Source organism: Homo sapiens, chromosome 8 (assembly GCF_000001405.40).
Source record: "Homo sapiens chromosome 8, GRCh38.p14 Primary Assembly".
Classification (NCBI taxonomy): Eukaryota; Metazoa; Chordata; class Mammalia; order Primates; family Hominidae; genus Homo; species Homo sapiens.
In genome coordinates, this window is record NC_000008.11 from 73276204 (window position 1) to 73289399 (window position 13196).

The following is a 13196-nucleotide window of genomic DNA, read 5'->3' on the forward strand; positions in this document are numbered from 1 at the left end:
TCTTGCTTTGTCACCCAGGCTGGGGTGCAGTGGTGCAATCTCGGCTCACTGCAACCTCCAACTCCCAGGTTCAAGCGATTCTTCTGCCTCAGCCTCCCAAGTAGCTGGGATCACAGGCGCATGCCACCACGCCCTGCTAATTTTTTGTATTTTTAGTAGAGACGGGGTTTCATCATGTTGGCCAGCCTATTCTTGAACGCCTGACCTCAGGTGATCCACCCGCCTCAGCCTCCCAAAGTGCTGAGATTACAGGAGTAAGCCACCACACCCAGCCTTCTGATGCATACTTTTATTAAAGTCAGAGGTGGTTATTTATTCTAGAGAAACAAATCTTTGAGGTTAGAATGGAAGACAATGAAACAAGACATTTCACTTTATAATTTACCTTTGTCAAACTATCCCAGAGCATGACCATTCTATTATGAAATTATTATTATATAACAAATTATTAGTAGAAAACACACAAGCCAAAAAACCTTAAATTCTGTAATCTTCAAGTCAACCATCAACTTTTCTTAGATTTTTGAAGACCTGGAAAGAAAAATAATTTCAAACAACAGCACCCAAATACCATATACATTTGTAATGAGGCACAGCAGTCATTTTTTTTTTTTTTTTTTTTTTTGAGAGGGAGTCTCAGTCATCCAGGCTGGAGTGCAGTGGCGTGATCTCGGCTCACTGCAACCTCCACCTCCCAGGTTCAAGTGATTCTCCTGCCTCAACCTCCTGAATAGCTGGGACTACAGGTGCACGCCACCATGCCCGGCTGATTTTTGTGTTTTTAGTAGAGACAGAGTTTTGTCATGTAACCCAGGCTTGTCTTGAACTCCTGACCTCAAGTGACCTGCCCACCTCAGCCTCCCAAAGTGCTGGGATTACAAGCATGAGCCACTGCGCCCATCCCGGCAGTCAATTTTAAGCCTCAAATCTTCCAGGGTTTAGCTTAGTAATCCTCATTGGTTTTTTAGATTTTTGTCAGTTGGGGCTATTTTGCCTTACTGGGCCTAAACAGAATATTAAAATACATTAATAATCCATACTGAGAATAGAGTATAAATGGGTTTCTCACTCCTTAGGGACACAAGTGGGAGCAACACATCCAATGAACGCAGATGAATGCCCCTGGTTATCCCTGAGCTGGGCAGTTTCACACGATCATTTTTTCTCTGAGGCCAAAGTCTGTGGTTTGATCATCTTAGCAGCCTCCAGAACCAGACAAAGTAGGTTTACTTTGTCTCCAAATTCTTTTTCTCGGTGCTCGAGAAGAATCCCCTGGTTTCCTGATGCCACCACGAAAACTTCCCTGAGGATGAAGCCTTCTCCTTCCAGGTTTCCAGAGAAGCCTCCATTCCAGGCTCAGAAGTACCACACTCCCAGACAGATAAATCCCATAAACATCATCTTCTGCCTTTGTGGACCATAGAACTTTTTCTTTTCATCCAGGAAGGTTTCTCTTTTAAAATAAGGCTGGAAATCCTTCACTTCATTCCTGATGTGCTCCTTTACCACTGCATAGAGGGGGACACCCAGCTCGTCCACATGGGTTTTAGGGAGGACAGATCCGCAGCTTCCCCTCAACAGAGGAAACAGCCTGGCCTCCGCACAGCCATAATCACAGGTCCATTTTCTTTTCCCATAGCTGCTTTGCTTTCAAAGTCCTTGGTTCCTTCTCCAGCATTTTCAGGTCTATATCCTCCAGGTACTCCAGTGCCGCTTTCTGGGGCTTAGAGAGAAACATGTCTGTGTTGGCCAGCAACAATGCCAAGGCAGCAGCCCCCAGGGCTCTTGCACCGAGGGACCACATGCCCATGGTGAGGAAACTTGGGTTCTGGAAGAAAGACATTTCTGCCTCAGTCTCCAACTCTCAGCTCTGCTCCTTGGGGTGTGTGTCTGCCTGGTTCTGGCCCAGCCCTACTCTCAAATGCCAGATTCAGAAACCTCTGAATAGATGCTTACAAAAAGTGCCATAATACGATGTATAATTCTTTCTCATTTCTAAAACAATGATTACCCCTAAAACGTTATTTGTACACAAAATGGAGAGTTTTCTGATGAATGAGTATGGTAAGGAGTCAGGGTTTGCAGTCAGAATCCCAATTCTCATTCTCCAAGGCTGGGCCTAAGCAGGAGCATTCAAGACTATTCAAGCTGACTCCTTCACAATGCTTTTCAAAATAAATCCTCATTATTTTCTTTTTAAAAACCACCACAAGTGCCTCCCTTCTGCTAGCCTTCTCCTACCCTGACGCCCGGGCGCTGAGGGGCCAAACCACCTGGCCCCAAGGGTCCCAGGGGCAGGCCCCTGGAAGTAAAATTTTTTAAGATACTGTGTGTCTGAAAATTTTCTACATTTCACCCCCATACTTATTGATAACTTGGGATGAGAGCAGAATCTCAGATTATAAATTATTTTTCCAAAAATGTTGAAAGGACTATTCCATAGTCTACATGTTTTGATTCTTATTGTTGAGAAGCCCAATACTGTTCTGATTCCAACTTCCAAATTTTGTTGATACTATATCTATTATTCTCTAAGTCCTTATAAATCCATGCTATTAAAAAAATTTTTAAACCCTTTCCTATCAATAGAATTTTAGAAGAAAGTGAGTTAATGAGTGTGTTCAGTGACTATCTTTAACTATAGTCATTTTAGTGATCCATAACTCCCCCTATTTTCTATACTGAGAGTCTCAACCCAAGCATCTTAGGTACGACAACTCTTTTTTTCTTTTTTTCCCCCTTTTTAATTCTCATTTTAGCTACCCTGTTAATTAAAAGGACAATTCTTTGTTGTACCAAACTGTCCTAAGTATTACAGGACATTTTCCCAGTCCTTCTGCTCTTCTTCATATGGTCTTGTTCTTGTCTTATGGTTTCCATTCCTTCACCTTCTTGAATATGAAAAATTTAAATTTTTTTCTATGCCATTCTATTTAGTTTTAGGGTACAAATCTCCCGTTTGCAGCATCTGCCAAGTCTGCTTCCTTGCAGTTAATTTCCTTACATATTCTGTAATCTTTGCAAACTCATCTATAGAGAGATCGATATCTATAGAAGTCAAGGATTCCTTGAATTACAGGAACTTTGCTATGCAGAGAGGTTTTTCATTGATCTTTGCCTGGCCCTGGGTGTCAGAGGTACCAGACCAGCTAAAATGTCAATTTCTTGGACTACGGTCCTGACCATGTAGTAATATGAATTCAGACCCCAGACTTGAGCTAGTATGGACCATTAATCTCTAATCTCTAGCAGCTGACTCTTTTCTTACCATAGCTCAAGTAGATGGCAAGCTTCCTTCTTGCCTCCTCAGGTCAATAAGGGGATGTTTTTCTAGTTATCTTCTTAGGGTCAAAGGGTTCTTGTGGTAGATTTTATTTTTCAAAGATAGGTGTACTAATGCATATGCAGTCCCACATGCTCTTCCTTCACTGTGATGTTCCTCCTCTCCTCCATCAAGAGGTGAGATGTTTCTTTCCCTGAAACCAACTTCCTCAGCCAAACAAAAAAACAGTAGAAACCACACTATGTGATTTCCAAAGCTAGGTCATAAAAGTGATATGACTTCCACTTGGCTCTCAGGACACTCACCTTTGAAATCCAGCCACCATTTTGTGAGGAAGCCAGGTGACATGGAGAGGCCACATACAAAGATTACAGCTGACATCTACAGCTAAGGTCTCAGTCAAGAGCCAGCATCAACCACCAGACATGTGAGTGAATAAACCTTCAGGAGATTCCCGTCCTGAGCCTTCAAATCTTCCAGCTGAGGCTCCAGACATCCTGAAGCAGAGCCAAGCTGTCTCTGCTGTGCACTGTCCGAATTCCTGACCCACAGAATCCATGAGCACAATAAATGGTTGTTTCATACCACTAAGTTTTGGAGAAATTTGTTATGAAGCCATAGTAACTGAACAGTACTTCTTTGTGACTCCCAGCTTTCAGCAGATGGCTCAACGGTGGCTTTCTCTGTGAACATTCCTTCATTTCAGGCACCTGGGGATTTCCTTTTCTTTGTTCCTAGCTTAGCCACATTTCCATAAATTATCTTTTACTCAGCATTTGAAATATATTGAAGCAAAATGGGGACCCTTCCATGCCAGCTCAGTCTGCCACATTGCCCAGAAGTTCCCAGAATAGCTTTTTAAATAATGACATAAAGAACTGAATAATTTATTTATTTATTTTTAAACGGAGTCTCACTCTGTTGCCCAGGCTGGAGTGCAGTGGCACGATCTCAGCTCACTGCAACCTCCACCTCCCAGGTTCAAGCAGTTGTCCTGCCTCAGCCTCCTGAGTAGCTGGGATTACAGGCACATGGCCCCAGGCCCAGCTAAATTTTTTTGCATTTTTAGTTGAGAAGGGGTTTCACCATGTTGGCCAGGCTGGTCTTGAACTCCTGACCTCAGGTAATCCACCCACCTCGTCCTCCTAAAGTTCTGGGGTTACAGGCATGTGCCACCACTCCTGGCCAGTAATTTATTTTATATATACACATACATATACATATATATATACACATATATATACACATATATATATACACACACACACATATACATACATACATACATATATACATATATGTATATATTAAAATCAAAAAAGAAAAGAAAAATAATCCTGAGAGTGCATTTATTAAAGACCAGGTAACTTGTTGCAGAGAAAATACAGTCAATAAAAAATTCATTCTCTCTAGTACTCAAATAAAAGGCAGATAATATAATGAGCTACTTTCGCCAATCAAAATGGCAGGGATTTTTTTCTTTACTATTAATAGAGTAAGATGGAGTGCAAGGAATAAGGTTTCAGTGGGAGTATATATTGGTGTAATATTTCCAGCGAATAATCTAGTAATATACATGTCCTTATAATTGTATATATTTTTGACCCAGCAATTCTACTTCTGGGAATTTATCCTAAAGAAATAATCACTGGCCAGGTGTGGTGGCTCACACCTGTCATCCTAGCATTTTAGAAGGCAGAGACAGAAGGATCTCTTGAGCCCAGGAGTTTGAGACCAGCCTAGGCAACATAATGAGACCCTGTCTCCACAAAAAGAAAAAGAAATAATCATTGATACATGAATATCAATTCCTGTATTTCTTATAATAGAAAAGAGAATGAAAATAACTCAAATGTCAAACAGCAGGTGGCAAAATAATCTTTAATTTTAGGGTTGTTTGAACCAAAATAATTACCAAGTGAACATAAAGAAAGATGAGTTATAGATTCATTGAGAAAGATATTTATTTATTCATGTCATGCATTGTGCTAGTAGTTGTAATACAACAATGATTAAAGATAAAGCACATGGTCTATGGGAGGTAGTGGGGAGGAGTAATTAGTTCATTACGATAAAGCTACGTTCAAATTCTATGGCACAACAGAACTTTTGCTGACCTTAACCAGACTGGAGAAGTAGGAAGGTTTTCTTTGTTTGTTTGTTTGTTTATTTGTTTGTTTTTGCTTTTTGAGCAAGTGATGTTCAAGCTAAGTCCCAAAGGTTTTCACAAGTAGAAATCAACTGTGGGAGAGAAGGTTGTTTGTCCACTAAAATCCTGGCTCCTCCTCCAGAGAATAGCGTTTGTTCTAGGAAGTGGCTGCCTCCCTGTGACTGGAATGTGAGCCAATGTAATGTGTAACACTGCAAGAAGCTTCTAAGAAGCTAAGCAAGTATGCTTTCTCCATAGTTTCTCCTTGCCTTTCTGCTGACTGGATTTAGACAAGAGTGAAGTGCTGACGAATGGCAGAGTCTGGGTCCTTCTACCAAGTGAAAGCAAGCCGTTTGCTGACCAGGGACGCCTACCTTGAAATTGTTATGTGAGCAAGAAATAACTTTTCTATGTTAAATCAAGAAAATGTTGGGATCTGTTTGTCACTACAGCTAGCAATAGGCTAATACATGTGACTTTTTATTCTCAAATAATGTAGTAACTCACTTAAATATATTCATTAAGCATGTACGATATACACATAAATGTGTCACGTGCACAAAAAACACACAAAAATAACTAAAGAGAGATTCTGCCTGCACAGAATTTCCAGTCCAGAAGAAAAAACAGTAGCCACTTATACAACTATAATACAAAGCGGTGTGTATAAATTAAATCCTTAGGAGATATATAAAGTAGTAGAAGAGTTAAAAGGAGGGAGATATTACTTTCGGGGGAGATTCAAAAAAGACTTTAAAGAAATTAGAAAATGGCATTTAAATAAGATTTAGACGGCAGAAATGTAGGTAGAGGCATTCCAGGAAAAGATATAGATGGGAAAGATGTCACAGAGAATGTAATGTAAGTACTCTGGATTGCCTGGAGGGAGGGGTTCAGATAAAGGCAGTGTGAGAAATAATGAAATGATAAATTGGATGAGATTACAGACAAATCTGAATGCTGGACAAAGTGGTCTATATTTTCTTGAGTAATGTGGAACCACAGAACAGACATATGGTATATATTCTGAACAGAGGTATGGTTTCTATTCACAGCTATGCTTTAGAAAAATTAATATGGCAGAGACTGGAGCCCAAAAGAGAAATTACAAGGCAATCATAATAGTCCAGAGTATTTAGAGTGGTCACAGTGAGAATGCAAGATTGATTATTTAATTTGGGAGATTCAGCAGAGAAAAAGGAGTCAAAGCTGAATGAGGCTGGGAATTGAGGTGACTGAGAATTATGGAACCATGAATTAAATTCAAAGAGGACATGCTAGTCTGGAGGTGGAGGGCAACAAGGAGTTCTGTTTTAGAAAAAAGTGAGTACAGGATATCCAATGGAGATATATAATCTGGATCTATGCAGTATGAATTGAGGTACACAGGTTTGAAGATGAAAATGTTAAGAGTTATCTACTTACACGTGAGAAATAAGGCCAGAGACTGTAATAAAGTTGGCAAAGGAGATTTGAGAGAAAGAAGAAAAGCCAGAGATTTCCTTAAAATATATGCAAGGCAGGAAGAAGAAAAGGCAGAGAAGGAATGGAGAGGCAGACAGTTCAGGGGAACCAGCATCATAGGAAGCATTGGACCATGTCCAATTGTGCAAGTTACTGGAGAAGGGAATTATTAATAACATTACTGTAACAGCAAATACACAATCCAATTTAATCCTTAAGTCACCCAATGAAACACAGATTCCAGTCAATGACTGAGCAGGGATTCAGACCCTGCAAAGAACCCAGGAACTGAAGCAAAATGAACTTGGATTCTAATCTTAAATGTGCCCCTCAAGAGCTACAGAACCACAGGGTCATGAAGAAAATAATTCTGCCTCTGACTCTCATAAGGTGAGGATTAAATTTTAAAATGCATGTGAAGTGTTCAGCACAGTACCTGACATGTTATAAACACTAAGTGGAAGCTATTCTCTTCTTTTAAAGAATAATAAATACAGATTTTGCTCAATACAGTCTGTTGACAAAAAGATAAATCATTCAAGATTCTTAAAGGCAAGATTCTATCAAAATTTTTTAATGTGCCTACATCTGACTTAGCACTTCTGCTTCAAGGAATTTATTCTGTAGAACTGTTCCCATGTGTAAGAATGTCTATTGTGGCTGGGCATGGTGGCTCATACCTGTAATCCCAGCAGTTTGGGAGCCCAAGGCAGGCACATCACCTGACATCAGGAGTTCAAGACCACCCTGGCCAACATGGTGAAACCCCATCTCTATTAAAAATACAAAAAAAATTACTCGAGCATGGTGGCACACACCTGTAATCCCAGCTACTTGGGAGGCTGAGGCAGGAGAACTGCTTGAACCTGGAGGCGGAGGTTGCAGTAAGCCAGGACCGCGCCATGGCACTCCAGCCTGGGCAACAAGAACGAAACTCTGTCTTAAAAAAAAAAAAGAAAAAAAAAAGAATGCCTATTGTTGCATTGTTTGTAACAGGGAAAAATTGAAACCAATCTCAATGAGGAATGGTCACATAAACTGATACATCTGTACTATGAAATACTCAGTGCAGACCTAAGTAAACTGATATGAATGGTATTCTCCATCTTTTTTTTTTTTTTTTTTTTTTTTGGTGATGGAGTCTCACTCTGTCACTCAGGCTGGTGTGCAGTGGCACCATCTTGGCTCACTGCAACCTCCGCCTCCCGGTTTCAAGCAATTCTCCTGCCTCAGCCTCCTGAGTAGCTGGGACTACAGGCACGCGCCACCATGCCCAGTTAATTTTTGTATTTTTAGTGGAGACGGGGTTTCACCATGTTGGTCAGGCTGGTCTCAAAACTCCTGACCTTGTGATCTGCCCGCCTCGGCCTCTCAAAGTGCTGGGATTACAGGCGTGTGCCACCATGCCTGGCCCGCTCCATCATAAGTGAAAAAAGACATTTCTCAAAATAATTCATGGTATGATTCCATTATGACCAAAAAACAAAGGAAAAAAGAAGGAAGAATGAACACCAAATGAATTCTAACAAGGATTAAAAAGTAAAGAAAGGCATAGACCTCTCCTTTCTAACTCCATATACTTCCGTACTGTTTCAATAAGTACTTATACATTATAATGTAATTTGAAAAATGTAAGGAAGAACTTAAAAAAGGAAATGTCAGAGTATTTCTGAAGAAATACCATTGTAACAAGAGATTTTAACTTGTTAACAATGTACATAACAAGTCAATAAAGAGGAGCAAGAATTCTTGTGCTTTAGGGATTATAATACCCTAAAAGTGCTCACAAAATTGTTTGCATTTGTCTGGAGACTCCAGTTTTTATGATGTCTATGAACCCAAAAAGGTTGTATGGGAAAATGACCAGTACAGTAGAAAAGACTACCTATGTTACACAAATAATTTCTAGAATGTTTAACTCCTGGTGAGAAAAGTAACACACACACAAATTATAGGTAAATCAGAAATGGTTCAAAGTAAAATTGGCAACAGAAAGAGGGTTTTAACAGTCTAACTGGGTTGGTCTTCCATGTCCCACTGCATGGCTGGGTGCAAGTGTGGGAGAAGGGAAGACACAGGGGTAGGCAAGGGAAGGAAAGTAAACACGTTCCCCCCACTCCAGTTTAAGCCTGGGAGGGTCAATCTGTAAGGGTGTGTCCACTTAACGGATAGATGTAAGTACTTACTTACCAGAAGTAAGGGGTGCAGAAAGAATATACAGATCCGGCAGGCGGACCCGCTTCCCTCAATCTCATCCCCCGACCCCACCTAGTAGCCTTCCTCAGGTCCCCATGCTCAGATGTTTCTGCCAGCTCCCATCATAAAGTGCATCTAGAGCATCCTCGGAGTGACCCACGTGCCTCTCTGAGCCTTAGTGTCCCCTTCGTGGGAGGGAGTGGGACTAGATGACCTCTGGACCCGACCTCCCATCCAGCCCTGACCTGGCAAGTCCCCTGAGCCTCCCGCTCCTTGGCCAGGGCTCGTCCTGAGACGGGCCAGCCACCAGCACTCACTGTGCCCGCAGCTGCACCGAGGGGAGGGATTTCTTTGCGATCCTGGCCGTTGCGGCCCAGGTAGGAGGCTCCGGCAGCAGGGGTGGCTGGGGCAGCGGGCACAGCGGGCAGTGTGGGAGCCAGCGGCAGCCCGGTGCCCACCTCAGCCCCCCGCCCAGTCCAGCCTTGTCGCAGGGCTGGCCACGGCGTCGGGGCGGGACAGGTGATGCAGGTGGCCGCGAGCTCCCACATTCACCACTCCTGGGGTGAGCATGCCCCGCAGCCAGCAGCCCTGCGACGCTGGGCCCGGCCCGGCCGGCGTCTCCCGAGGCTGCAGCGCTGCCTGCCGTACGCACACCAGTTGCTAGGCGCCCGGGGCCTCGCGCCTCAGTTCCATAGGGCAAGGGGCCCAGTGTTAGGGTTCAGGGCCATGACGGGTGCTTGGACAGCTTGGGCAGCGGAGGCCACCGGGACTCCTCGACCAGCACTAGTGCCTCTGCCTTCAGGTCACTGCTGCCGAGTATGGGGGTAATGTGGGGGAGTGAGCTGAATCAAAACTGGGTGAACACTGGTCAGTGGTGACACAAGGTGAGGGGCCCAATGGCAAACAGCACCAGGAAGCACATATAGGGCAAAGACAGGGCAGTTGGGCAAGCTTGGTGTAATTCAATTTTCTGGGTTGTTTGCACATCAGCTTGTATCAAAGACTTATTTTTCAGGTTCAAAATAACCAGGCTTTCCAGAGTACTGATGAGCTGTACCTTTCAAATATTAGCCACTTAATACCTGACTAGCCCAATTTTAGGTAAATGACAACAATGACGAGTTCCCTCACGAGTCCACCCAAATTCCATGTTCTGACTCCTTTGTTTTGGTTCCTTTATAAAAGGTTAGGTGTGTGTGCCCCCTCTGGCTTGGACACCTAGCACCCTGTCTTGCACAGTGGGATCTTAGCATCTGTACTCTTGCCAGATTAAGTTATCATATAAAGCCTCTGCCTTCATGACTTGACTCCCCACTAGAGCTGCAAGCTTATCCCTGGTAACAAGGTTTCAGAGCCCACAAAAACTCCTGAAACTGCTCTCAACACACTTTTCTCCATTCTTATTAAGCTCTACACAAACCTCTCCTAGGTCATTTGGTTATTTTTTTTAACACTCAAATTAGGCCTGGAATCGTAACACTGGCCCCACTACTTAGTTATGTGATCCTGGGTGAGGGAAAGTTAACCCACCTAACAAGAGGACTAGGCTGCATATTAAAAATCATGTGGAGTACTTAATTAGAAAAAAGTCTAGGGCTCATCCCAAAACCAATTAAGAATTTAGTTCTGGGGTTGCAATCAAAGTGGAGAAACACTAACCTAGGATTATGTGGATCAAGTGATACACTGGCACTCAGCAAGTGATCAAATGTTTATTAAATGGTCTCCTGTTTAGTTCTGCTATCACACCCCTACCTGACACTTCCCAAACTCCATGCCATTTCTCAAACTGTTCCTATCATCAGGTGACCAAATTCTACCTCTTCTGTGAAACTTGCCAAATCTTCACAGCATGAAGCATCTCCTGTACTCTCTCCTAACATGGTTTTCTACTATTACAAATCATTATTCCTACAAAATGCAATTTCTGAGTCCTCCAAAGTAAACTATATATACAGAAATATATATCCATAAATCCACACTCTACCCCATTCCTCCTGTCGCCATCCCCCATCACCAAATACTCAAGGACTACAATATGCCAGTAATTGAAGTCTCAAGATTTTAAATATCTATTTTCCTGATGAGGTTAGATTCCCTTAAAAAAGTGAAGTGCCTACAATGCACCAGGCATTGTTCTAAGTGCCAGAATAGAGAAAGCTAAGACTCAAACCTTACATTGGAGAATGGCTGGGAAAAGCAAGTCAGCAGTTTCAGATAGTAATTAATGCTATGAAAAAAGGTGATATATGAAGACGTGTGTCAGAAAAGACCTTTTTCCAGAATGAAAAGCCAAGTACCCAGACCTGGAGGCTGAAGACACTTTTGAGGAACAAAGAATATAGCTGGGGAGCCAGAAATAAAATATCAAATAATGGGCCTCCCAATTTCCATGCCCTAATTACAGGGACCTGTAAATTTGTTACCTTATATAGCAACAAAAGGGACTTTGTAGATGTGTGCTTGAATTAAGGATTTTGAGATGGGGAGATTATCCTCAATTATTCAAGTAGCCCAATGTAATCACAGAAGTTTTTATATTAAGAGGGAGGCAGGAGGAAGATCAAAGACGATGGAAGCAGAGATGCCACGAACCAAGAAAAGCAAGGGGCTCCCAGAACTGGAAAAGGCAAAGAAAAGGAGTCTTCAGAAGTAACACAGGCCTGCTGACCCCTTGATTTGGCTGTGAAACCTATTTTAGATTTCTGACCTCCAGAAAAGTTAAAACAATAAATTCACTTAAGTTTATGGTCATTTGTTACAGCAGCAAAAGAAAACTAATACATTCACTTAACACTGAGTGCCTACATGTCAGCAAATGGGCAGAAATTAAAAGGCCTGGCCTTAAAGTTTACTACCTAACAGAAGGGAGGCACATGAGAGGAATGTTTTGGCTCTTTGACACCACATTTCTAAGGAAAACCACTGGGAGCAGAAAGCTGTCAATCTTCCCATGGAGGTGGGCCCACAAAGACACCAGACACCCCTAAGAAGCTCTATCACATCCTATACATCCCCAGGGCACTCATTTCACTGTATCTGTTGCCTGTCTTCCCATCAGACTGATACCTGAAAGCAGAGGCTATTTTCCGTAATTCACTGTTGTGTGCCCACATTAAGTGCTGAAGCTATACTGCACAGCAGCATTGAGCACTTTCGAGCTAGGCGCTGCTCTAAGCATTTTACAGGACCTGTTAACATTTAATCTTCATTAAAATCCTATGAAATTAGGCAAAATTATCTCCATTTTGCTGACATGGAAACCGAGACAGAGATTATTTATTGGCCCACGCTAACAAATAAGTGGAGACTAGATATGAACCCAAGCACTCTGGCTCCGAAGCCAACACTCCTAATCCAGCGAACCACAAATGAACCTTCAAAGAAGTTACTAACTAGGTTAACACTGGTTAAAGGCCAGTGAGTCCAAGACAACTTTATAAAAACTGAGATAGCTAAGGGACCATCCACTAGAGAAAGCCGGACCTTAGAAGGATGAACAGGAAATAAACATATATGAGGTGTAATCTTGTAGGAGAACCTACTGGGTGCCCAGACCCCTAAGGTTGGTTAGGCCTTCCAGAGGAGGATCCCTTGAAAGCAATGACATTTATAAGAAGTGAGTTTCCTAATCAGGTGTTAATCTGCATTTGAATAGGTTCCACCAGCTCACAAACATTTTCGTACCTATTATTGTTCCTCACAATCCTCTTATAAAACCAGATTGGTTATCCCACTTTACTCTGTTCTCTATGGGAATCCTGGTTCTCTGCAACCCCTCCCACATTTCCCCATCCTCCCTGGCCCCAGGCCACACTTACAATATGTGTCTGCATGGGCTATATATTTATATATTTTTTTTTAAAAAAAGCTTTGCTAAGTATCTCTCTGTATATAAAGTGCTTATTCCTATCCCAATGAAGACTTCCCACATTTCATGCACCCACCCACCTGCACCTAGATTAAGCAAGCAATACACCATCTGTACAACTTCATTCCATAATTAGTCTTAATTCTGACCCTGCAGAGGCCACTGATGGCCCTCACTATTCCTCTAAAACCTGGAAGCCAAACAGGCTCTGACATCTTCTGAGGCACAACTAC

At 42.3% G+C, this 13196-nt stretch overlaps 1 protein-coding gene and 1 pseudogene across 2 annotated transcripts in view, besides 2 other annotated features; both read right to left on the reverse strand.

Moving 5' to 3' along the window:
- Positions 1–9729, reverse strand: part of C8orf89 (chromosome 8 open reading frame 89) — a 44602-nt gene extending 34873 nt beyond the window's left edge. For both annotated transcript variants that reach the window (XM_047421206.1, NM_001391993.1), the window contains exon 1: positions 9410–9729. The gene's annotated coding sequence lies outside the window, so the exon portion shown is untranslated. The remainder of the gene's footprint in view (positions 1–9409) is intronic.
- Positions 960–1878, reverse strand: PRXL2AP2 (peroxiredoxin like 2A pseudogene 2; annotated as a pseudogene).
- Positions 9253–9754: an enhancer, noted in NCBI's record as "H3K4me1 hESC enhancer chr8:74197691-74198192 (GRCh37/hg19 assembly coordinates)". NCBI's record gives its function as "activates a minimal SCP1, AML or CMV promoter by ChIP-STARR-seq in naive H9 embryonic stem cells {active_cell/tissue: H9 hESC(naive)}" and the evidence as "EXISTENCE:reporter gene assay evidence [ECO:0000049][PMID:30033119]".
- Positions 9755–10254: an enhancer, noted in NCBI's record as "H3K4me1 hESC enhancer chr8:74198193-74198692 (GRCh37/hg19 assembly coordinates)". NCBI's record gives its function as "activates a minimal SCP1, AML or CMV promoter by ChIP-STARR-seq in naive H9 embryonic stem cells {active_cell/tissue: H9 hESC(naive)}" and the evidence as "EXISTENCE:reporter gene assay evidence [ECO:0000049][PMID:30033119]".